Consider the following 27,247-nt stretch of genomic DNA (forward strand, 5'->3'; position numbering starts at 1 on the left):
CGGCAGTGTGCAAATCAATTCAATTGAACAAATATCAATAAACATCCCATTATGTGTCGGGCACTGTGCTGGAGATATGCAAGTAAATAAAAAGGAAATTGCAGTCAAAAGTGATTAAAAGCAGGAGCTAGACTGCTTGGCCTCAAATCCCAGTGCTGTCACTTATTAGCTTTATAACCTCTCTTAGTCTCAGTTTCCCCTTCTGTAAAATGGGCATGATAATCATACCTACCTCTGATAGCTATGGTGAGAATGAAATGAGTTTGCTTAAGTTCATGCACATATTCATGAATCATATTCATGCCTGGCAAGTGCTACATGCACTTTAGGATTATGTGGAAGTTACTAACCCTCTTGTGTGTGATGGACTTCTTCAAGAAGTTGATGAAAACTCTGGCCTATCTCCCTTGAATATACACACATATTTTTGCATCTAGTTTGAAGGGCTTTATGGATACTGAAAGGCTCTACAAAACCTAGGTGAAGAGCCCAATTTTGTGGGAGAGACTCCCAAAAGGTTTGTAATCCTAATACACGTGTGCCCCAACCCCTAGTTATTAATAGTTGTACTGTGTGACACTCTTTCGGCTTTCAAGAGAGACGATGCAAGAGAGCGGTTAAAAGCACGGACTGCAGGGTAGAAGAGCTCTATGTTCTAAGCTTGACCCACCACTTACTGTTTGGTTGAGTGACTTCAGGCAAGTCACTTAAGTTTTTTGAGCCTCAATTTTCATATCTGCAAAATAGAGTATTACCCTACAGAGTTGGCAAGAGGGATGATGCTTTGGCATGTGTCTGGCACCAGATAAACACTGCAAAACTGTCCCTAATACTAATAATATACATTAGGGATAGGCAATAACTGCCATCAAAATATAGAATGATGATCAGGAAGGAACTATTCTGCACTAGGATTAAAAAAAGCAGCTGGAGGTTTTGTCTCTTGAAAATTACAAGCTCATGTTTCTCACCTACAACTAAAATCTGTATTCATCTGTAATGGAAATGTGTGCAAAACTCAGGGCTTGCTGTGGAAGAGCAAAAGGCAAGAGGTTGGTGTCCACTGACTTTCTCAATGCATAAAAGCCAGTCTATTTTCTGTATTATCAGAGCTAATGCAACATGCCAAGAGAAATAGGTAGGTGTGACCAATTGGGAGTTTCTTTCCATTCCACCAGACTGTTGAGTATCTCACCATATCCTTTGTCATCCAAATCAGCAGTGAAAAGCACTGTCAGCCAACCCCCAGCACATTCAGCAGATAGGTTGCTTAATTAAGTATGCCACTGAATGGTCTATAGAATTCTATTGCTGATTCTGACAGGTGAAAGACAGAAGGGACAATTTCCTGGGTTTTTATTTAAGATGTATTTTCAATGTATCCTCCACAGAGGGTGTCCCAGGCTGCATTAATTTTTATGTTTTTTTTTTCTAAACTCAACTCTACACAGAATGAGCTAGTTGATGAAAACAAGTTTAAAATCAGTAATGCCCCCATTGTCCCCACACTGAGAACCAACGCGCAATGGGTGGATTAGGCCATTATGAAAGATTTAGAGGATGTTGCAAAGCAGTGTTGGGAAATAGGCTCTCTTTCCACCATTCTCAGTGTTAATGCCTTTAAATCAGGAGTGGGGAACCATTCCTCAGTACCAATTGGAGGTATGGCATTTGTATATAGCAAACGGACCTAACAAGTTATAAACCATGCTGAATTTAGGGATTATGTGAATGTTGTTAAATGAAAACTTGCAAAACCTGGGATTCACCAGCTTTGAAAAGAAAATGCTGGAGACAAAAAAATTAAATACAATACAGTACAACGGTCTGGCACACTGAGCTAGGAGCTCACCAGAACTAGCTAGTGTCCAGGCCCCATCAGTAGCACCAACTGCATGTGATGTGTACAAAAGACAATACCCAGAGAACTAAGAGTATGACCCATGCTTCCTAGAGATCCAACCTTTCTGAAATAAATGGTAAAGAAAGACAAGGTTCCAAAACAGCATTCTCTTTTGGAAGAATTTGAGGATTGGAAGAAATCCTCCCTTCTACTTTCCCATCTGGAGAGAGAATTGCAGTTGTCATGCTCCATGTCCCCTGCCATCCCAGAGCCAAGCACTTGACCTGACAAAAAAGTGAACTTGCAAGAGAGCCCTCTCAAGCACTTTGCTTCCTCCCTTTAGTCTAAGCTGCTGCATATATGATAGCATGAGTCCTTAACGCCAAGACTGCAACAAAACACACCGATAGAGCCCACCCAGTAGCTTAGCAACTGTTTTTATTTCTTTAGGCTTTTTTGAGAAGTAGAGAAAAGAAAAAGAGCTTTGTCAAAGTGAATGTCACGCCACCGTATTTCTTCCCACTTCACGGGGGTGGGGGTGAGGAAGAGGCTTGGCCAAATGTTAATTGTGAGCTCTGAAGCGTTTCATTCTAAGGCCCAAGGACAAAGGCTGTAAGGCAGCAAGGGTGGCTCTTCCTGCTTTTAGAAGGCACTATGCAAACTGGCTGCCCTAGTAGGCACCTCGAGCCTCCCCAGCCTGAGGTCTATTGAAGGCAAGCAGACTATGCCCCTTAATGCCAGACAGTTTTTTTTTTAAGAGAGAGTTTGAGAGTCTGAGCCTCTCAATGCAAAGGCCCCCTGCTTCACTGCTATTGTCTTTGTCCAAAATAGACAGATGAAAGACCCTAATAGATAGGGCCCAAGTCAAAGCAATCACCCCTATTTCAAAATGCAGAAAGTTGGGCATCGCCATAGGTCTGTCCTAGAGCTAGGGTAGATGGAGGTAGGTAGGAGAGGGGGCAGCCAGAGGACTGATAATGATCCCTAGAGATTTCTGAACCCAGGAGCCAGAGAAAGGAAGAATGGAAAAGAGATTTTGCTTGTAGGCATCGGAGAAAGCCCATGCAACGTGTGAGAAAGTACAGACAGCAGGCTGAAGACCAAACCACAAGACTAGCATGCAGGGAATGGTGGAGCTATCCAGGGAGCTGTGGGCAAAAGGAGCTTCAGATGGCTGCTATCGAGAACCACCGGCATGAGCTAAATCTATGATGGTGTATAAGCGTGAATGCTCGCTCTGGTAATTTATAGGAATATTTGGGGTAATGGGGCATGAGCACTGTAATCAACCACGAGTTGGATCAAGGGCCGGAGTGCTCTTCCATTCAATCAGAATTGAAAGGTCATTAGGCTGATGATAGGGTATGCAGTGTTAGTGTGATGGCAAACTGGGCAGGATATTTACTCTAACTCCACCCCTGTGAGCTGGAACACTGAGAATGTCCTGTTTCTACCCTCCACAGCCCAGGACATTCAGTGTCACCGCAAGGAGGAAAAACTCCTTGTTTTTGGCATCAGTTCCCATTAACAAATTAGGGTTTATTTATGAAATTCAGATCTCCTCCTTCTCAAAGTGATTTGACTGATAATTCTCATCACCTCCCCCCACCATAAAACCCTCATTAACAAAGATAGATAACATTCCTTTTAAATAAGAGAATATTTCTTACTTATAGTTACTGAGAGATCATCAAAAGCAGTTTTTCCTCACTGTAATGAAATCATAGTTCCTGCTTCCCATTCCCATTCTTTTTTTTTTTTTTTTTTTCAAGACAGAGTCTCTCTCTGTCGCCCAGGCTGGAGTGCAGTGGCGGGATCTCGGCTCACTGCAAGTTCCACCTCCCGGGTTCACGCCATTCTCCTTCCTCAGCCTCACAAGTAGCTGGGACTACAGGCACCCACCACCACGCCCAGCTAATTTTTTGTATTTTTAGTAGAGACGGGGTTTCACCGTGTTAGCCAGGATGGTCTTGATCTCCTGACCTTGTGATCCGCCCACCTCGGCCTCCCAAAGTGCTGGGATTACAAGCGTGAGCCACCGCACTTGGCCCCCGTTCCCATTCTTTAGAGGCAAGAAGAGGCATCTGAGTGATCCCGGTGACCCCCTCCCCACCCAGGCCCTCCAATCCCCAGGGTCTAGGTTCTCAGAATCCAACACCAGAGCTGGAGAATGCCAAAATGAAGAATCTAAAAGAGTCCAGTTCTAACAAATATAACAGCTAATACTGTACTCAAAAAGCATTTGCTGGCACGGCATGGTGGTTCACGCCTATAATTCCAACACTTTGGGAGGCTGAGGTAGGAGGATTGCTTGAGCCCAGGAGTTTGAGATCAGCCTGGGCAACATGGCGAAACCCTATCTCTACTAAAAATACTAAAATTAGCTGAGAGTGGTGGCATGCGCCTGTAATCCCAGCTACTCGGGAGGCTGAGGTGGGAGGATCACTTGAGTCTGGGAAGTGGAGGTTGCTATGAGCTGAGATCTCCCCACTGCACTCCAGCCTGGGTGACAGAGCCAGACCCCATCTCAAAAAATAAATAAATGAAAGCACTTGCTTATGTGCCAAGCAATGTTCCAGCACTTGACAATACAAACTCATTTAATCTTCATAATAACCCTAGGAGTAGGTACTTTTATTGTCCCTGTTAACAGGTGAGGGTACTGAGCCACAGAGTGTATAAGTGACTTGCCCAAGTCAGAAAGTTAATAAGTGGTAAAGATGCAAATATCCAGAGTTCAGCTCCAGAGTCTGCACACCTGTGTCATAAAAACTCAGAAGAGCTGGCTCTGTCGAGTAGGCCAAAGTGATTTCTGTGTCCCTTTCTTCCCCTGGCCCAGAGCTACCTCTCCTTCCATCCCTGCCCGTGGTCTCAGAGAGGACACCCTCTCTGATATCAGAGCCGCATCCTGCTCAGCAACTCAGGCTTGCACTGAGGAGCTGGGCAAACCAAGACCATGGAGGAAGGAGAAGAGTAAGGCCCAGTACAATCTCTCCTCATGCTCTAGCTAAGACAAAAGGATCCTGGCAGCTCCCCAAACTCTGCCTGGACTCCTGATATGTGCTATGTCAGTTTCAAATATATCCAGATTATTACCCCAATACTTCACCTGAAGTGTCCTAATGAAATATGAGTGGATATTAACTAAGCTATAAAATCCATAAAAATGCTGCTTTACAAGAGACATTTACCTATGAATCAGCAGTTGGGTTAATTCATTATTTAGCAGGGTTGTTATTTACAGCATATTACAGCTTGGTAAATTATTTATATGTGCTTGTTTCTGTGCATGATTTTCCCTTAAGAGAGGGAAAATGTTTATCAACCATTCAGGGAGGTTGTTTCAGTCAGAGGCCTGTTGTCAAAATAGCTTGGGCTAGTTTCTCTTTCTTACTTCCTGCACAAGATTCTCGTCTGGAAGGAACAGGGGCTGACAGAACTATAACCAAATCAGGCATTTAGCCATTACTGGGGAGCCAAGAGTCCACTGTAAAGCAGCATTTCCCATTGTGTGTTCTGCCACAAGGCCCATGGAACATGGACTACGAAATAAAGGCTCTGTAGGAAGACTAGTTTGGTTAATACTGGGTTAAAGTCAAAGTTACAAACTGCAAGACTTTGATAAAAAAGTTTGAAAGCTGTATAGCCTTTAATATACGAACGAACATGTCTTTTAAGTCTCCAAGAGGAAGATATGGAATGGCTTGCCTATGGAGTCCTCTTTATGCACAAATCTCATGGGGACTAACCTATGTTATGAACACTCCTCTAAGAAGTATTTCTCATGCTGAAATGGAACTTACATATTTTTTTAATTTTTTTATTTCAATAGCTTTTGGGGTACAAGTGGTTTTGGGTTATATGTATGAATTATATAGTGGTGAATTCTGAGATTTCAGTGCACCTGTCACCTGAGTAGTATATGTTGTACCTAATGTGTAGTTTTTTTTAATCCCTGGCCCACTCCCACCCTCCTCCTTCTGAGTCTCTAAAGTCCACTGTATCACTCTGCATGCCTTTGTAGACTCACAGCTTAGCTTCCACTTATAAGTCAGAACAAATGAATTTTGGTTTTTCACTCCTATGTTACTTCACTTAGAATAATGCCTCTAGGCCAGGCACGATGGCTCATACCTGTAAAGCCAGCACTTTGGGAGGCCAAAGCTGGTGGATCACTTGAGGTTGGGAGTTCGAGACCAGCCTGGCCAACATGGTGAAACCCTGTCTCCACTAAAAATACAAAAAAAAAAAAAAAAAAACCCACCTGTAGACCCAGCTACTTAGGAGGCTGAGGCACAAAAATCACTTGAACCCAGGAGGTGGAGGTTGCAGTCAGCTGATATCAATCACACCACTGTACTCCAGCCTGGGCAAGAGTGAGACTTCATAAAAAATAATAATAATAATAATAATAATAATAATAATAATGGCCTTCAGCTCCATCCAAGTTGCTGCAAAAGACATTATTTCATTATTTCATTTTTAATGGCTGAGTAGTATTCCGTGGGTTATATATACCACATTTTCTTTATCCACTCATTAGTTGATGGAGAAAATTTCTATTTTGGTAAATTTGGGGCCTGAACTCTGCCATCTTGTCCATCCCTGAGATATTGTGAAGTGGAATAGTCAACATGGACCAATCTATTGATGCAATACAGAAACAATCTAGCCCAGCTACACCTAAATACCTCTAAGAAGTATCTGCACTGCATCATTCAGCACACTATTGTATTTTGGGGGGTTTGTTCATTGCTTCGTGTTTTTTAGTCCTGTCCTCTAAAATGACTACACTTCACTATGGCAGGGACTGTCTTCTGCCTCTTTGGTCCCTCCTTGTACTGCATAAGCATGACAAGCACCAGGTCCCAGCAAATGCAATGATAAGCAGCAAACATTAAGTAGCAACTAGCTATTTCAGGCCTTAGCTTTCTAAAATGATTTTGCTTCCAAGCAAAAGTAGAAAAGCAGACAGTGTATCTTTGAACAAAGGCCATAAAGTGAAATGATGGCCAAAGTCAGAAGAAAAAGGGTAAAGGAATTCAAAGTGTTGGGACCTTTGAGGCCAGACTTAGAGGGACTGACTGCTCTATGTTGTGAATAGTTTGTCAGATAAGGAAGGCAGCCTGAATACCTGCCAGAAGGCCTGGCCTCTATTCTATGGTTACTCTAAGCATTTTGTTGTTGTTGTTACTCTAAGTATTTTTATTCTATGATTTATTCTCCAACTGGAATCGTATTCCAAGTAAGGGATACCATTAAACTTTAACTTTAAAAGTCATTGCTTTTCTCTTAAATGCGAGTTTAAAAGATTTACTGCATTAAAAAGTGCCATTTTATTATATTCAGCAGGGTCAACATTTTTTCCATTTGAAGGACATCTGATTTTATTGAAATCCACAAGGCTATAGAGGCCACTTACCAAAAACTCATTTTATAGCAATCATTACTGAAATCCATCTCTTAATTCAGGGATACCTTCATCTATGATAAAGTTTGTCAACTGTTAACCCTAGAAAGCTAAAACAACTACTTAGTGATTGAAATACACTTCCTAATCTGAATTTGTTGCTTTCTATGGAGAAGGCCTTTGGCAAACACTAGCATAGCTCATTGGGTGGAGAGAGTCCTGATGTGGGCCCAAGCTCTGACACTTCTAAAACTGTGTGACTCTGGGCAAAGTCCTTTCCTCTCTAAGCCTCTGTTTTCTGTTCTATAAGAACAGGGCCTTGAACTAAAAGGTCTCTGAGATCCCAGTATTCTAGTATGATACTGGGGTATACGAGGAGAGAGAAAGGAGGAAACCAACTAGTGGAACACTGGGTTGTAAAGACCTGAGTCAGTGACTTCAGTCAACTTTCAGGGGCATCATGCTAAAAGGCCCATTTGTATCTGTTCAGAGGACACAAACTGCAGAGAATCCTTGGCCTGGAAATTCTCTGTCCTATGTTGAGGTGGTACGTCAGCACTTGGGCAGCACCTTTGTCAATAGGGCTGGGGGGCGTCCCATTAATCAAACACAGAGATCACTGCTTCCAACGTTCTCAGGAGCATATCTCCTGATGGTTAAAGTAAATGCTCTGAACTCAGAAGGTTCTGTATTCAAAATTTTGCTAGGCCAACTTTCTGGATGTGTGACCTTGGACAAGTACTTCTACCTCTCTAGAGATTCCACTTTCTCATTTGTAATATTCAGTGACAAAAAAATGCAAAGAATTTGATACAGGGACTGGACCCTAATCAGGAACATGCTAGCTGCGATTATTATTTTCATTCCTGTTGTTAACTGAGGTCTCTTAGCCATCTCTCTATATAGTCCAACTCTCTTTAATACAGCCAAAAGGAATCCCATCTTTCTTTCCACAATTTCCTTTATGTGAATTCTCAGTTATAGCCAAGCTAATCTACTCTCTGTGTCACAATGCTTCTGTAGATGTGTTCAAGCTGTCTCCCCCACATGAACTGCTTGTTCTCCTCTTTCCCCATCTCAGACAAATATTATACTTTGTCCAATGTCCCCTGTCCTCCATGACCATCTCAAATAGTAGGGATTACTTTCTCCTTTAAACTCACAGTCCTAAGCTGCCAGAATCACTTGCTTGAGAATTAATCACAAAAACTGCCTTGTGCTTGGACACATTATAAATTACAACCAAAATGATTTCACTTTTCACGTGTGACTGCTTTACGGTAGAGGCTGCACTGCACCCTTTTGTCTCCCCACTCTAGTGCCTAGCACAGAGCATGGGACCAATAAACATACAGAGTCATTTTTTGTTTTGGTTTTGGTTTTGCCTATGAACAAACGTAGCTCCATCTTTATAAGAAAGACTCCACTAGAAGTTTCTTTGGGCCTGTGCTGGCCAATATGATCGCCAGTAGCCACATATAGCTCTTGAGCACTTGAAATATAGCCAGCTTAAAAGGAGGTAGGCTGTAAGTATAAATTACACACCAGATTTCTAAGACTTAGAACAAAAACAAGTAAAATATCTCATTAATATTTTTATATTATTTACATGTCAAGGTGATAATATTTGGGGCCTACTCAGTTAAATTAAATATATATTATTAAAATTAATTTCACGTTTCAACATTTTTAAATTGACTACTAAAAAACTTTAAAATTATATATATGGCTCACATTTTATATATATATATGGCTCACATTATATATATATAGCTCACATTATATATATATATAAAGGGCCACTGCTGTGGCCCTTTAAAAATATAAAGCATGTGAACACACTGATAATTAGATGCACTAATTATTTTACCACTGTTCTTTTCAGAGAACACCTATAACAACCTAGTGGCATTTGAATTTCACATCTGTTCTAATCTAACACTGTAGGTGTGAACTGTTCACGGGTCCTTGGAGGGAATGGGAGCTCCTGATCCGTATGCCAGCTGGGGACCTGTCTACAGAGTCCTGGTAAAGGAATGTACTATGGTCAGGCCATCTCCTTCCAGCTTGATGTGTTTTTGTTATTAATTAAGATGACTGAAAACTCCTTGGCGAAATACTAAAATAAAATATGGCCAAAAAGGTTTCCACATGCAAGTGGGGAGGGTGGCAAAGGAACAAACTCAGTGACCAATGTTGGATAATTATATTGATTTTAAGGCAGCAACTGGGCATTTCCTAAGGCACTTCCATTGATAAGAAATCACTCAAAGGCCCTCCATCCATTTACAAGGACCATTTGTATCTTTATGCTGACAGTGGCTACAGTGTCTTCCCAACAGAACCCCATCTTTGTCACAGCATTATTCAAGCCTAGAAATTGTTGAGTGCTCTGTGAACACAACTTCTATAGGTGCTGTGGGAGCTGCAAAAGATAGAACTCCAACACTGAAGGGTCCTGTAAACTTACTATGGTTCACGGTGTCAGGGAAGGCTTCACAGGGCATGCCACACTGGATAAGTGACAGTTTGTTATGGCACAGGATGTTACAGCAAAGGACGAGAAAGATGTGAAGGAAAAGGAAAACAGGAGGAGGATGTGTGTCCTGGAATGTGTCAACAGTGGGAAAAGGGGAAAAAAGAAAGAAAAGAGGGAAGGAAAGAGGCAAAGAAGAAATGTAACTGTGAGACTCTGGACATGTTTCAATTCCCTCCCTTTAAAGGGAGATTTATATAGATCAACCTCATAAACTTATTGCAAATATTAAATGGATTATTACATATGAAAGCCCCTAACGTTGTTCCTAGCCTCCATCTTTGTTAATTTCCTCCCCTCTTTGCCTTTCATGTTGGGCTTACACCTCTTGGTTTCTGACTTGGGACACTGAATTTACACCTACAACCACTGCTGAGCCGTAAGTTCTTGCTCGTGATGTTCCTAACCTTGATGTTGCCCCTCGATTTTGCTGTTAGAGAGGATTTCAGGTGCTTCATAACTCATGAAGAGCCAGTCTATCTCAGAAAGGATAGCTTTCACGGAAAATTGGGAGCCATGATTTTCATCAAAATGAACAACAAAATGACTGTTTAGTCTCAGCAAGGGAGTATTTACTGTCTGAACCTGTATTTCGAACTCAATTGACCAAAACAAACATATCATTTTATCTGCCCAATCCTAATCACTCTGGGAGATCCACTTTTAATCTACTTCCTAGGGACTTGCCATGGCAAAGTATTGCAGGATTTGCAAACCAAGCACTTCATACCCTCTGTTTTAACTCATCTATAGAAAGAAAACAGCCAGGAGCATTTGGGGGTGGGGGTGTTTCTTTAAAGTCAGCATGGCTCCTACTTTATTTCTGTAACACACCTTCATTGTCACCCCCTACCTGCTACCGCACATGGTTCAGAACAGATGGTAGTGGTTTTGTTAATTCTTGAAGGGAAAAAAAAGGTAGTGGATAAGCTGCACATAGTCACAAAGTGATCCCTAAGGCAACCTGGGCACAGGATAGCTAAGCTCAATACAGGCAACTGGACATCAATGAAATAAAGACTGTGCATATCTTCTTGAGCCTGCCAATGTAAGGTGGCAGAAATCCGAGCAACACCAAAGCCATGGCAATCTCCCTTCAGAGACTGCCTGTCAAATCATTTCAGATGAGAGAAGAACATTTCCGAAATCACTCAAAAATGAGGGACTTTCAGAATAGTGGTTACCTTGGGGGTGGGTGGAGACACCGACTGGGCACTACATACCAACTAGGCACTAGAAAACTTCCTGGGGATAATGGAAATATCATATTTTATATATATATATATACACACACACACACACACACACACACACACACACACACACACACATACACACACAAACATAGGTGTGATTTATATATATAAATATATACACAGCATATACATATTTATATATTTAAGTATATATATGCTGTACATATATTTATAATTTAAGTATATAAATATATATATGCTGTATTTATATATTTAAATATGTAGCTATATATATGCTGTACATATATTTTATATATAAAAATCACACCTATCCTTTTTTAACCTAGCATTATAACATAAGAATTTTCTAACATTAATTACAATGTTTTCATTTTTAAAAAATGATGACATAATAGTCTATCGAGTAGATTCATGTTAATATAATTAACTACTTGTTGCTGGAAACCTAGATACTTTCCAACTTCCTCTTATTCTGATCTGGAAAGATCTAAGTTAATATCTAAGCTGGAAAGTATCTAAGTTAATCTTGTGTTGGATCCTGTAGGTAAGGAACATATATATATATATATATATATACATACTTATATTTATATTTATCTATGTAAAGATATGTGAAGCACATATGTTTATGCATAAATTAAGCCTATGTGTATATGATTCATACTAACATATAAATCATATATAATATTAAATATATAAATCATATGTGATATATCATATATAAATATAAATGCTGCTCAGATAGATCAATCTATGTATCTATGTATTTATGTATGTATGTATCTATCTGTCTACAGAGAGAGAGATCTGGGATCTGGGTGGCATTTACCCAAATGTAGGTATGTAAAAATTCCCCAAGCCTATGCACTGAAGGCTTGTCCAGTTTATTGTATGTAAATTATACTCATTAAAAAAATTTAATGTTAACTGTACCCATGTACAGGTCCAGAGGAAGACTCAAGCCTTGCCCCTGCCAGCCATGTCAACTGGCACAGCCCTTCAGGAAGGCAATTTGCCACTACATATCAAGGGCCTTAAAAGAGGTTGAGAATCTTTGACTCAGTAATCCCATTTCCAGATGTCTCTTCTGAGGAAATCATTTGAAACATGAGAAAAGTGATGTGCAGGGTGATGGTGAAACAAATCACTGGATAGAAGATGTACTTGCCCGTGTGTGACTAGGTTATGTTCTGTGAACATGTCAGGTTAAAAAAGCAGGATACAAAAGCTTATTTGTTCATGATGACTTACTTGTACTGACAAAAAAGGAACAGAGAGAACAAAAAAGACAAAAAGTACCACACAATTGTCACAATATTTATGTTGTGATGAGAGATTTTTGTGTGATTTCTTTTGTGTCTCTCTCCTGTGGTTGCCTTAGAATCACTTTGTGTCTGTGAACAACATAGCCACCACTGGTGTTTTCTATGAAGTATGGTTATATAATTTGCAAAACAAAATCAGGGAGCAGAGAACCCAAAGGTTTCTGGATGGATCTGCCCTTAACAACTGCATCAGGTAATTGGTATCAAGCCAGACAAATTAATAAAATGATACTTCTCAAAGCAATTCCATACCTGCATGACTTCTCTTATATTTGTACCATGATTTAAATATTTTCCAGAGTGCTTTTACATACAAACATCAAATTCTGAGAAAGAGGGAATGATAAAACGCAAACCTAAAGGGGCCTTTGGATTGGATCATACAGGGCCCACTAGGATGGACATGGGACCAGGTCACCCAGTGCCTAAAAAGGCAAAACGACTATAGAGGTAAAGTCCTTCAGATCCCTGTCATCTCGTAAGAAATTCTGATCTGGTTCTAGCCTTGATTTATTCTGCTAGCTGGAGCAATTCCAGGGCAAGCAAATTGAGACTCACATTTTTTCCACTGCCTATAATAAAAACAAGCATTTTTAAGCATTCTTCATCATCCCCTGCTACTTCTTACATTTTAAACACAAAATTTTACATTCCTGTCACTTCTCAGAACTTCCAGAGATTTTCTCCTTTCTACCTGTAAGAAGTTTGAGAACAATTTCATTTTTCCCCTCCAGGTCTTCCATTAGCCAAAACCGTTAGAAAGAGCCTGAACCTTGTCTTTATGAGGCCTCCTTCAAAGTAGGCTGTCACTGGGGTTGATGGTCCAGTTACAAGATTGAAGACTTGGGCTCTGTAAAGAACTGCTCTTGAAAAGTCATTAGTGAGGTCCCCAAGGCCCAAGTTTTTACACCCAGTGCAGGAATTCCCAGTGCCTTTTACCGCCAGTGAATACATAAATTCCATTAATCCACATGTACCTTTCTGCTATTGCCCAAGAGAATGGCTACATATGCAGAATACAAAAGAAGGTAGTGAAGGGGGCGACAGGGAAGACACTAGGGGTTGTTTTGTTTGATTTTAAAGATTTCAAAGAAGATGTATGTCAAGAAACTATCTCAGGACTTTTGTTTTTCCAGAACTTTCAATAACTTTCTTTCCTTTAGGTCTCTGAGACCTAACTGGAAATCCTGTGACAAACTATATGTACCTGTAATTTTATTATGCTGGATTAAGGGCCAAATAATAAACATGAGGAGAAAGAGATTTCCCAGAAACCTGACAAAGAGAGGACAGAAAACAACTCTGAAATACTGTGATGTTATTATATAGGCAGAAGAATTCCACTAACCAACTTTGTAGCATAAAACAAAACACTTAACTAACCCTGGCATCGGTCTTCTAATCTGTAAAATAAGGGGTTCCAACAAAATAGCCTTCCAGTTTCCAGAATTTCTGGTACAAAATGAGAGCCTAAGAGGATATTCAAGTGGGAGGCTCAAGATGTCCAAGACAAGGAGGACTAGCAACGTGCGGGCCTCTCCTCTGTAAGTCCCAGCCACTTACAGACATTCTACAGCACACGAGCTTGTCCAACTACCTTCTGGACACTGCCTCTCAGTTCTCAGAACCGAGATACTTTGGAAATGGTTCTCATCTACTAAAATGTACCCGACAGCTGTACTTAATAAGGCTGGAAGGAACACTTCGGTCCTTTTCCAGGGGAGAAACAAAAGGGTCAGGCCTGTCTTAGGCAGAAGCCACCCAGGGCAACAATGTTTCTCTTCACAGTGAGCTTTCCCACCTGTCAACAGATGCTTAAAGCAACAGGATGAATCTGAAACAGCTGAGTTGGACACCAAAGTAGAACAAGGCAGCTGTTTCTTGCCTTTCAGTATAAAAAGCCTGGCAATTATGCTGAGAAGGATCTGGTGGTCCATAAATATGATCGCTTTGCACATTCTCTTCTTTCTGTGGTTTTTAGGGCTTGAGTTATTTAACTGAAATAGCTGCAGAACAACCAAAAGGTTTATGCTACAGGTAGGCCAAAGAAGCAAACATTATAGGAGACAAAGGATAATAATAAATTACCATGGTGAGGCGAGGAGAGCTAGGGAGTCTCTGAGCTTCAGAATTAAGCTCCAATAGAAATAATAGATTGTATGACGTTCACTTGCAAAAGTTCATCTCCAACCAGTACTTAAGTACTAATCATTTGAAGATCACTTATCTGAATGTTTTGATAAAAGCTAATATAAATAATAGATTTAAGATCAGGACATGTAAATTAGGGGTGCATTATGATTACAAAGATAATTTTTAATTTATATTCTGAAAGTTTCAAAAGCTCTAAATCTAAACAAGGATAGACGTCAATTCTGAGAAAACAGTTTATTAAAAATTTTTTTATCACAGATTTTCCAATATTTATGCCATGTGTCTTATGTATACCATTGTGTTTGGCAATTTCATTACAAGCCAAAATATTAATGAAAAGGTTAAGTATTGATATTTAATCCAGAGTACACGGGGCCACATACTCTATGCTACATTTTCATCTAGTTTAAAAATAATTTTTTCTCTTACTTTTTAAATTATTTATATTTTCAATTCCATGAGCTAAAAAAGTTGGCATTAATTCATTTTTGTTTATTTGCCTTTCCAATAGTTTTTTTATTTTAATATATGAGACTACATATGTGATCATTAAACTTAATCACTGTATTTTAAAATGTGAAAAAATACAGAAGAAAAATCAGTCCCAATTTGCTACTAACTTATATACACTGTTAGCCTTCTGGAAAATTTCTTTCTGTTCTATTTTTGTATGTATAAGACTTGTTCTTGTTGTCAGTAACAGCTTTATTGAGATATAATTTACATAACATACAACACATCCATGTAAAGTGTACCATTCAGTGGTTTTTAGTATATTCACTGATGCAACCCTCACCACAATCAATTTTGTAACATTTTCATCACTCCCAGAACAAACCCCACGTCCCTTGGCCAATGATTCCACAACCCTCATTATTCCCAGACCCTGGCAACTACTAATCCACTTTCTGTCTTTATAGATTTGTCTATTGTTGTTGTTTTACATTTCTAATTATACTATATATTTTTATCCTTTTTGACCTAACATTACAACATAAGCATTTTCTAACATTAATTACCATGTTTTCATTTTTTTAAAATGATTAGATAAGTTTATCAAGTAGATTTACGTTAATATATTTAACTACCTGTTTCTGGAAACTTGAATACTTTCCAACTTCCTCTTATTTTGATCTGTTAATGTTGTGTTGGGCCCCGTACATTAGCAATTGATCCAAGATTCATTCATTGGAATGTGAGTGCCAGCTGTGACATTAGGGCAATGCCAGCCCTCCTGCCAGCCTGTATTTCTCCTTCTCTGTCAGAGTTTAGTGCTTGGCTAGAATTCTGCCCATGAAACACTTGGCATGTAGTGGCTAACCTTGTCAAGGGGAAACTAGGGATCAAAAGTGACCCCTGTGACCAGCTGTCAGATGCCGGATGTCTAGTGTCCTGATATCTTCCTGATCTGATCAGTATCACACCCAGAATACTATTCCTCCATTTGGCACTGTAATCTGATGCCCTCAGGCTGCAGCCAGAAGCACACAGCAATTAGGAAACCTGTAAAAATCTAGTCCCCACTTGGGGAAGTAAGCAGGAGGCTTCCAGGAGCATTCACAGGAAGGGAAGTTGAACATTCCACTCTCCCCAATGTGAAAAGTGATGGGACAACACACAGCAAACCTGGAGGGAACATAAGTTTTCACGGCCAGATCTTTTTTTTTTTTTTTAAATTATTATACTTTAAGTTTTAGGGTACATGTGCACAATGTGCAGGTTAGTTACATATGTATATATGTGCCACGCTGGTGTGCTGCACCCATTAACTCCTCATAGGGCCATATCTTAAACCTGATAATGACCGCTGTTAAGGATGAAATGTTAATAACTACAGGTAACACTGAGCATTTACATGCTGTTTATATGCACAATCACATTCTATTATCCATCCTCATTTGGCAGATACAGAAACTGAGGCTCTCCTGCTATGTAACCTGCCCAAGGTCACACAGCTCTCTGCAACCCCATCCTCCCACTCCCTAAAAAGGTGACATAGGCAGGACTCAACTCCATTCTTTTCCCGTGCCAAAGTTCAAGCCCTCTCATTCATTTAAATGCCATCCACCTGCTATAAAAGAAGAGGAACGAGGCAATATCATGTGTTTATTAGAACACTTACTATGCACCAAGCCCTGGGTAAAATACTTCCTCACATATAAGCACTCAATACATGTGTGAGTTAAAGGCATGCCCATTTTACAGTTAAACAAACTGAGGCTTTGAGAGGTTAAATGATCTGTTTGACCTCTCAGAGCTTAACGGATGGCCCAGCTGTGATGAAATCTCTGATTCCAACTAAAAGAGCTTATTGTTATTCCGCGGCTTAAAGAAAAATGCCTCTGCTTTAGGTCATTCATACAGTCAAGGTCCTGTGGCAACATCATTATTTGAAGACCCAAGGCTCAGGAAATTGCACTTTGGCCAAGTTAAAGAAAAGCAGGCTAAACTCATCTCAGGGGGCAATGAGTTCTGAATACTTCATTTCCAAGTGTAAGATAAACTCAATGAAAAAGATATAATTTTCTTCGTAATTTGAGAATTGCACATCACACATAAATGTGCACTTTGTCAAAGCTTTGCAGTTCACCTTTACGCTTTACAGCCCTCTTGGGAAGCAGAAAAATATGACAATTATGCAAATAGCAGTGTTGAGCCAATTACATGGAAAAGTGGTTGTACTGAAAGGCAAAAAGGGTTTGGCAAAACTTAAGCTTCCCTTCTTAACAATGAAGAGTTTAAATTCAAATACATTTTTGGCAAACATGAGGGCATAGGTGGCTCTCGCTTTCTCCCTAAGTGTTATTAGTGCCAGAGGGCTCCTAGTCCTTTGTTTTCAGCTTTTAATAACCCAAGTGCTTTCTAATGGTATTTTAAGTGAGTTGCTAAAATGTTCAGAATTCATTTCTCCATATTGAGCTTCACAGAGATGATTCTCAGCAAGCAAATAAAAATAAGCATTTAAAAAGATTTCTTCTCTCATCAAATGGTGAAGAAATCCATTCCTTTTAGCCTGTTCCATGCTTGAAAAGGTTAGTGTGGCCTTTGGAAAATACCAGGCTGTGCATTCCATACACTGTTAATGATTCCTGGGATGCGCTGACACTTTTGAGGACATCTTAACCTTTTTAAAATGGGGCCTCCATTGTCTTACCTTAATAAGCAGTTTGCTCACCTTATGTCTTACAAAGGCCACCATGGTGGAAAATACATATGAGATGAAAAGCTGCACAGATGAGTGATATAACAGAAGGAGGAGGACGGAGCACCAATTACATAAAACACAACCTGCAGAGCACCTCCCCCACCTGTCTCTGACCCCAACCCAGTAAAGGCAGTAATGACAGCGGCTCTCTTAAACAGTACCCGATGATTACTTCTCCTCTCAGTATCTTCCTGGACGTCCTTCTCCAAATTGTAGCTGTATGAAGGTAACTCAAATACACATTTATGTATCTCCTTGTAGTCACAAAACTTCAGGTTCACCAAGTGGTCCCTGTGGTTTAGAGAACCAGATTGATAAGAAATCTGTTATAAACATTTTAGGCCACGCCTGTAATGCCAGCACTTTGGAGGCCAAGGCAGGCAGATCACCTGAGGTCAGGAGTTTGAGACCAGCCTGGCCAACATGGCGAAACCCCGTCTCCACTAAAAATACAAAAATTAGCCGGGCAAGGTGGCAGGCGCCTGTAATCCTAGCTACTCGGGAGGCTGAGGCAGGAGAATCGCTTGAACCTGGGAGGTGGAGGTTGCAGTGAGCTGAGATTGCGACACTGCACTCCAGCTTGGGTGACAGAGCAAGACTGTCTGGGGTGGAGGGGGGAAGAAATCTGCTAGAAACATTTTACTTTCCTGTTTCGATGCCTCACATATTCTGGGGGCAAGAGCTCTGAGCTGTCTGGAGTACCCTTTCGAATTCTTGAGCCTATTAATCCCTCATAAATCTCTACACATTTTTTAGGCTCTTCAAGTGAAGCAGTGGACCACACATTTTTTAGCACAGCTCCAGAGTCCCCTATGTGGAGTTAGCTGGCCCCTCTTCCAGATGCCCATAGTACTTTCTTCCCCCAGCAGTTTAAAACTTTTATTGAGCATCTGCTATGTGCAACACTTTGTGCTGGGTTCTTGGGTTACAGATGTGGCATCACATAGTCCTCGCCTTCAAGGAGCTCAAGACCAAGTGGGCTGCACTTCTGTGGGGTTTCTGTAAAGTTAAAATAGTTAATATGAGACCTTTTTCATGTGTAATTTACAATCTATCCGTAAACATGAGGGAGTCTCAAGGGTACTGGCAACAGGGCACCTTAAGGTTGCTAGGGCAGGGGGCCCCTGTGCCCACAAATGGGAAGGCTGGAAGGCCATTATGAAGATGGAAAAGGCCATTTTGGAGCATTCTTGGACTCTCTGCATCCCATGTAGAGGAGGTGCTGCTGTGAGAAGCAACAGCTCTCCTCTCCTCTCATAGTCCTTTGCACACACTTCAACACAGGTTCAACATATCTCATAGAAGTGTCCACTCTCATATCTGCCCTGGCCAATGGCCAGTAAATTGCTTGAAGGAAGCAGCTGGACTTATCTGTATCCCAGATCCTTTTTCTTTTCTGTATCCTCTTTAACAACTAGCATACTACATGGCAGATTCTAAGCCTTTCCTATTGCTTCCAGATGAACAAATAAATAAAGGCAAGTGAGTTTAGGTTGGTTAGTGGCAGGCCTTGATTATAAGGTCAAGGAATTTGAACATAGTTGGACATAATTTTTCATGAGAGGAGTCAGAATAAATAAAGCCTCTAACAGGGAATGTATATTCATTTGTGTGTCCTATAGAATTAAAAATTCTAGCTTCCACAGTGTAAAACAAGATATTAAGAACTCCTTTGAACAATCTGTTTGTGGGAAATGAGGAGTCATTTAGGATTCATCAGAGCAAAGAGGTTTACTTGAGCCGTGAGGTGGAGAGAAATGGCATTATAAATCCATTTTAAAAAGAAAAGCCAAAAACGCCTAGAAAGCATTTTGCAGTACAAGAGAAAAGCAATTTACTTGTTACTGCTTCAATTTCTTAAATCATCTGGCTTCATAGATCAACACTAACTCTCTTTAAATCTACCAAATGAAATTCCATCCAATGACTCATTACCCAGGGCAAGCCACAAATTGTGATTTGTGATTCCAGTAGTTCCTCCAGGAAATGTGGGAAAAATGATTGTCCAGGAAAACAGTATAGCCGTGTGTGTGTGTGTGTGTGTGTGTGTGTAAATAGACGCCATTCACGTGCCTGAGTCTGCTCCATGATGTCCAGATTGGGAAGACTAATCATAAATGGCCTTGTGACTTCCTAGACAGGTGTTTCTGACTGAATGCTGGCCCCACTGGCCACAGTTTGCAGTGAAACTAGCAGAATGCAGAAAGCCTGGCTTCACTCTGATTGAGTTCAGGCAGTGTCACTAAATCTCTACCTCAAACAGGAACCCTGTGTGGCAGGTTCCTGTGAAACAGTCCTTATTGTTTCCCTCCATTAGCACTTCTTCCATATCCAGGCAAGCCATTCTTTACAGAGTAGAATTTGGGAAAAGAAAACCCCGAAACTCAGATCTAATCTCTCATTCAAATTGTTCCGCACACTTCTAGAACTATGACTGCAGGTGCCCAAGGAGAGTTCAGAGAGTTCTCAGCTTGACCCTGTTTCTCAGAATCATCCTTTCATCTCACAACCATTTTTTGTTTGCTGTACTCTGTGCATTATTTGATCCAGCCCCATCTTGTAAGGAGTCATTGCTTAATCAATGGCTTTGTTGTGAACAATTAACATGAGACGCAAATAGCCATAATAAATACATATTTTTTTCTCCTCACAAAAGCACAGGTTTCTTTATGGCACAGGCATAGTTGCCATCATCAAGTGGTTATTTAGTCTGATGCAGCATGTTTTACAGCAATTATGTTTTTATGGCTGTATTCCTTCAGACTTACATAGAAACGTCATTTTAATTATCATAAATTCTTTAACCATCTGACTCTTCTGTGAACACAAGCTCTCCCCGCCCACCCACTTCACCAGATCCTGGCAGGCCTACAGCAAAGCTTTACAACACACTATTTCCCTTCTTGCTCGTGAAACATATCTGCCCTGCCCTCTCCACCCTTTTACTGCCAGAGAGTCATCAGTTCTGTCCGGAAAGATGTCACTCATCAGATGAGATCCCAGGAACCATCCGCTGGTTGCCCTGTATCTGAAAGCAAGTAGGTCATTAGCAAAGAAGTATCTCAGTTCCACTATCTAGCACCAGACGGTGATTACAGTGAAGGGAGCTATGAGATCTCCAAATGATAGGCCTGGATTAAAGGGATGGTCTAAGGAGGCTTTGGCTCCTAAGACCCAGAATTATAAATTATAGTATCTGAATTGAAATTAAACTCTACTTGGCAACACCGAATTTAGTATTTTATCATTTTAACTTGGACTTGATTTTTTTCTCACTAAAAAAGGACTTACACAGAAATTCCAAAAGGACATATATTACTTCCAAATGAATGCAAGAAGGTTTTATTTTTTGCTGAATCACACTTGACTATAGAAAAAGTGGTTCTGGATTTCAATATCGTGAGCTGAAAAATTCAGTTGTAAATGACAAGTCAAGTGTGAGGAACATACCACCTGCCGTCACTATTTTTTTTTAAAAAAACACCCCAATTAAAAAGCGGGCAAAAGACATGAATAGTCATTTTTCAAGAAGACATACAAATGACCAACAAGCATATAATAAAATGCTCAAAATCATTACTCATCAGAGAAATGCAAATTAAAACCACAATGAGATACCATCTTACACCAGTCAGAATGGTTATTATTAAAAAGTCGGAAAAAAAAAAAACAGATGTTGGCAAGAATGCAGAGAAAAGAGAAAGCTTATACACTGTTGGTGGGAATGCAAGTTAGTACAACCTCTATGGAAAACAGTATGAAGATTCCTCAAAAAAAAAAAAAAATAGAACCACCATTTGATCCAGCAATCCTACTACTGTGATTTACCCAAAGGAAAAGAAATCATTATATCAAAAAGACATCTGCACTCATGTTAATCACAACACTATTCACAATAGCAAAGACACGGAATCGATCTAAGTGCCCATCAACGGATGACTGCATACAGAAAATGTAGTGTGTGTATATATATATATATATATATATATATATATATATATATATATACACACACATGTATGTATATACACACACACACCGTGGCATACTATGCAACCATAAAAAAGAAGGAAATTATGTCTTCTGCAGCAACATGGATGTAACTGACGGCCATTATCTTATGTCAAACAACTCAGAAACAGTCAAATACCTAGCGTTGTCACTTATAAGTGGGCACTAAATAATGTGCACACATGCACATAGAGTGTGGAATAATAAACACTGGAACCTCGGAAGGGTGGGAGTGTGGGAAGGGGTTGAGGGATGAGAAATTACTTAATAGATACAGTGTACATCATTCCAATGATGATTACACTAAAAGCCTAAACTCCATCACTAGGCAATATATCCATGTAACAAAACTGCACTTGTAAACCTTAAATTTATACACATAAAAAAAAGTTACCTATGAGGATCAACAATTGTTCAAGATGATAAGGATCTGCAACCAGAAGAGGAGGGTAAAAAACAGCTTCCCATGGAAGTGGGAAGATGCAAATGAGTATCCTCTTCAAATTAGAACCTCTGGCCGGGCACGGTGGTTCATGTCTGTGATCCCAACACTTTGGGAGGCCGAGACACGTAAATCACTTGAGGTTAGGAGTTCAAAACCAGCCTGGCCAACATGGTGAAACCCCATCTCTACTAAAAATACAAAAATTAGCCAGGCATGGTGGTGCACGCCTGTAATCTCAGCTACTCGGGAAGCTGAGCAGGAGAATCACTTGAACCCAGCAGGCAGAGTTTGCAGTGAGCTGAGATTTTGCCACTGCACTCCAGCCTGAGCAACAGAGTGAGACTCTGTCTCAAAAAAAAATAATAAATAAATTAGAGCCTCTGCAGAAGTAGTAAGAGCAGCTGAAGAGCTGTGAACTGGGTCAACCACTTGGCTCTTGACTATGAAACAAGTATCTTTAGTTCTAATTTGATATTATACCCACAAAGATCCAGTTAATTTAACAATTGAATTTAGTTGCATGAGGTAGAGGGGAGACTCAGAATCATGAGATCAATAATGCAGGTTCCCAAAGTCAATCAAGCCCAAATATTTTGGAATGAGGCAAGCGTTGGGTTTCCCTCCTCCCCACTCTCCCTTTCTCTTTCCCTTTGTCACTCCCTCCTCCTCCTCTTCCCCTTCCTCTTCATCCTCCCTCTCTCTCCCTCCCTCCCTTTCTCTCTAAGTACCTAACACATGTTATTAATATTATTGGGATTTTAAAAGCCTGTATATTGCAAGAATGTTTTAAGGATTAAATGGAATTGGGTGTGTGAAAATGCCTAGTACAGTGCCTGATACATTTTGGAAGCTCATAAAATATTAATTTCACTCTATTTCTCCTTTCCTTCCCCTTTTTTTCTTCTTCCTACTTTGCCCTTCCTACAGCCATTGTGTCCTTATCTGGCCATGACTAAGAATTGAAGTCAATTCTAATATATGTGCAGGTACAAAAATGCATAAACATTAGCACTTATTCTTAAATCATTCTGTATGCTGCCTGTTCTTAATGATAAAAGCGGTTATGTTGAACATTTTCTATTTCCCTCTCATATATAATGCATACCATGTTTGTGTTTTATTAACTTCACAGGGGTGGTTCATAAAAATCGCAAAGCAATTTTAAAACTGGAGTGGGCCAGTGGAAAGCAGTAGGCTTACAGAGCTTAATTCTTTTTCAAGTGCAACAAAGTTGTTCTTAAATTCTAGTTACAAGTGGTGAGAAAGCCCTAACAGAGGAAATGAAATCACATGATCTCATACAATCACCCAATTTCATACTTTGAAGGAAATTCAGTCTCTCAATTATTTCTATGAGAAATAATGAGCTAGTACTCTTACGTAGAACTATGGGAGAAACTTGAGACTTACCAACTTTAGAAGAGCTCCAAAGATTTATTGTTCATTTTTCCAAAGGTCTCCAATGAGACTGCTTTTCTTATCTGGAGGTTTTTCCCCCCAAAATCAAGAAAATATCTATAATCAGTATACATATTGCTTAGTTGCTGCATCCTTGGTCCTTCATATACTCCACAAATACTCTTCTAGTACCTCCTCTGTAGAAGACCCTTGGCATCTTGTGAATCTCCCTACTGGGTATCAAACTGGGCAACAGAAGTACCGCTCACCTTTCTGTAAAGAAAATCGACAGGCATGATACTCTTTATGAAGCTCAGGGTAGGGAGGCATTGCTGAAAATGAAGCTTATTATGGGAATTAAATGAGGAGCCTTCTTGCCAGCAATAGGGCTCCCAATAGAATTAAGAGCAAACCAAAAGGGTGCTGGCAGCAGCAGTCAGTTTGGTGAGCTACCATATAAAATGGGGAGGCCCTACTGTGACAGTTCTCAAAAGTACACTTCAGTTGAACTTGATACCCAAATAGCCAGTTAAAAGGTGAAAAAAGCAAGCAACCAAGCATCATGTTTTATAAAGACAAAACTCCAGCTTTGCTGATTTGTTTTTACAAAGAGTAGTATTTTTTTACAACAAAATTAGTCAATTATTTTTATAATCTATAGGCCCGTCATACTAGGTTAAACATTTTCTCTGTTTTCATAGAAATAGGTTAGTGAAACTGATGGACACAGCTAACATGCCCATCAGGTGAAGATCAAAGGAAAGATGAAGGGTTGTATCTTTTAAAGTTTAAGAAGATTGAAGATGAAAGACGTTGGGTTAAGGAGGAAACTGGCAATGAAGACATGATATCAAACGCAAATGATTAAAGGTTAGAAAAAATCCAACCCATTGAATTTAGAGGTTTTGCCTACATAACAGGAGGGGAAGCACTTGAGATAATTCGGTCACTACATCAGCTAGTTCTGACTGAATAGATCAAATCACCCTACCACTTTCCAGCAGCCACAGTGGGCTTTGAGTCCATTCCACACACAGCCACAAACAACAGCTCAGGCTGGCGAATGCTCCCTGACAAGGTTTTCCACCTCTCTGTGGGAACTGTATCTGCTCAATTTTGGTTTCGTTGCAATTATACACAGCCTAATTTCAGCACATTCATTTTTCACACAGCAGTTTCATTTATTTATTTATTTTCATGTTCAGCGGATTGGTCCCTAATCACCAAACAGCTTGTGCGCAAGTACCCCTAAATATGTTAACTCGAACTCATAATGCAAGCGCATTGTGCTGCTGTAATCACTTTTCATTACCACCCCTAATTAAATGTTTTGCTAAACTATCAGGAAAATATTTTCCTTTTGATTCCCAGAAAATCCCGAGAGAGAAAGACAGAGAGAAACAGTGCTTCCAGGCTGGCCTGTTCTCTTCCTCCCCTCCCCCTGCCCTGAATAGACAGATCTGTGGATGAAGGCAGGGGCCTTTCCAGATTACCACACACAGTAGAATACTCTCACTGGTCATCAGTGCATCCGACAGAAGCAGCCTCTGAAGGAGATAGATCCTGGTGACTCTATTCCCATATGAGGGGCCTGCCATGCCTGGGATGTTTAAGCCAGCCCAGTCTTTATCCACAATTCATTATAGACTTGGAACCAGAGGGGGATCTCTAGCTCCACTACAAGTATCTGGATAAATGGCTACTGATTTAACAGCAAGGAATTTATAAGAAAATGATGTTGAGAAACCATTCTATTTCTCCAAGGAGCAGAGCCACCACACATTTACACAAGGATGTTCTTGCTTGTTTACACATACAACACAGTATGCTTCTAGGTGCAGTTGCATTCCAGGCAGCCCCGAGTGGCAGTCTCCCATTTTGGCATCTGTTGGCAGGAGGTTATCTCCACCTCCTACTTGGCTCACACTATCTTCCTCATCTTATAAATAGCAAGTGACCACTTTCTGCTGCAAATAAATTCTTCATAAGTATTATATCCGTTAAAAGTTCTCAATGCTACCTGAACTAATCATGTTTACTATTTCATTTCCAGAATGTCCAAATAAAAAATGCTGAAAATTCCTTCAAAAACAAATAATTGATCATGAATTAAATAAACCACTTATGTATTTTCATGTGTGAACATTGTTAAGTATTATACCACTTACATGGGTTTTGGTGTTCATTCTGAAAGCATCAAGATGTCCTTAATATTTTGCAAAGCAACAAGAATAATAAAGTTAAATGACGTGTGTGTGTTTTTTTAAATTCATAAAGGGAAACTTACTCATCTACATACATGTGCATAACAGTCCTGATTTGGGCATCAATGTGATGCCTTTTTTAAATATAAAAAAGTGGGTATAAATAGATTCACATGCCAAACCTCCAAACGCAGCTTGGAGGAGGCTTTAGCAATCAACAGTTCATTATGAGTCAGCAGTGTGAGGCACTATCACAGAAACTAGTTAATTGGGCATTACTAGAAATATATTACCTAGAACGAGGGGATTGTAGATGATAGCATTCTGATTTGTGCTGGTCAGAACACTCCCGAAATGCGATCTTCAATTCTAGCTGCCATGACTTTATGAGGGACAAAGACAAAACAGACAAAACAACCAACACAGGGAAGAGTCTGTAAAGCACAAATACATGAGAAAAGTTTGGAAAGGCTCTTTTCCCTGGGGAAGTCGCCTTAAGGAAGGCATACAAATTGTGTCCTTATATTCAAAGGACCATAGAAGAGGGGTGGAACTTACTTTCAGTTACTTTAGGGAGCAGAGAACAAACAAATAAAATGAAGTTGGGGAAAGTTACATAGAGATAAATTTCCACTCAATGTGGGGAATAATTTCACAACAATTCCAGCTGTGCTGCCTCATGAAATCCTACATTCGCTTTTATAGGAAGGTTTACATGAGATCTGTCAGCAATTGTTTATCAGAATCCCTGTGAAGAGTTCACACATCTTCTAGAGAGGTGGCTTTTAACTTTTTGGGGGAGTGGGGATGAAGGAGGTTTCCTGGACTCATCCTATAGAAAATAATGAAAGCGTGGAATCTCTTCTCAAGAAAAATGCATAGACACATAGCCTTTTCAGGGAAGCCACTGACTAACCCAGATGAAGAACCATTGAGCTAGAGGGCTGAAATAGAGAGGCTCCAATGTCTCTTCCATCCTGGATAGCCATGATCCTCCTGTATTCTAAGTCTTGATCTACAGGTACAAATAATAACATTTCTGATCTTACAGGGTATTTAAGTTGTGAACTCAAGATCTGGAACTAAATTTAATAAAGGTTCTGCCTGGATGAGCTAATTTTTCCCTTCTCATCTTCCTCTCATTTCTCTTAGCATCACTACTGTCTCTCCCTTCAGCTCCACTTCCAAATGGGGTGCTCTACCAGGGCAGCCATCAGCAGAATGAGCTCTCCAGCTAATCCACTGACTTCCAGCAGACCACTCTTTACTTTTCTGGCCCCCTCCCAACACCACAGGGACTCCTATAAGTGGAATCAACACCCACGGACCTGATGCTGATGGAGCATAAACAAGCTCTTGACAATATCAGTGAAATTACAGAGCCATATTTTTAGGTCAAGTCTCCATCACTGAATAATCTAATCCTAAGGATAAAAATTATATAGATAAAGAAATCTCAAGGCTATTCTCTCGATTAAAGTCAGTTTAGTTCCATTCAA

At 40.1% G+C, this 27,247-nt stretch overlaps 1 protein-coding gene across 10 annotated transcripts in view, besides 1 other annotated feature; it reads right to left on the reverse strand.

The window, feature by feature from the left end:
* The window catches only part of HS6ST2 (heparan sulfate 6-O-sulfotransferase 2), a 335,356-nt gene that overhangs the window by 191,604 nt on the left and 116,505 nt on the right, over positions 1-27,247 (reverse strand). The window lies entirely within an intron of this gene.
* Positions 904-1,489: an enhancer, noted in NCBI's record as "OCT4-NANOG hESC enhancer chrX:131952550-131953135 (GRCh37/hg19 assembly coordinates)". NCBI's record gives its function as "activates a minimal SCP1, AML or CMV promoter by ChIP-STARR-seq in primed H9 embryonic stem cells {active_cell/tissue: H9 hESC(primed)}" and the evidence as "EXISTENCE:reporter gene assay evidence [ECO:0000049][PMID:30033119]".

Source organism: Homo sapiens, chromosome X (genome assembly GCF_000001405.40).
Source record: "Homo sapiens chromosome X, GRCh38.p14 Primary Assembly".
Lineage (NCBI taxonomy): Eukaryota > Metazoa > Chordata > Mammalia > Primates > Hominidae > Homo > Homo sapiens.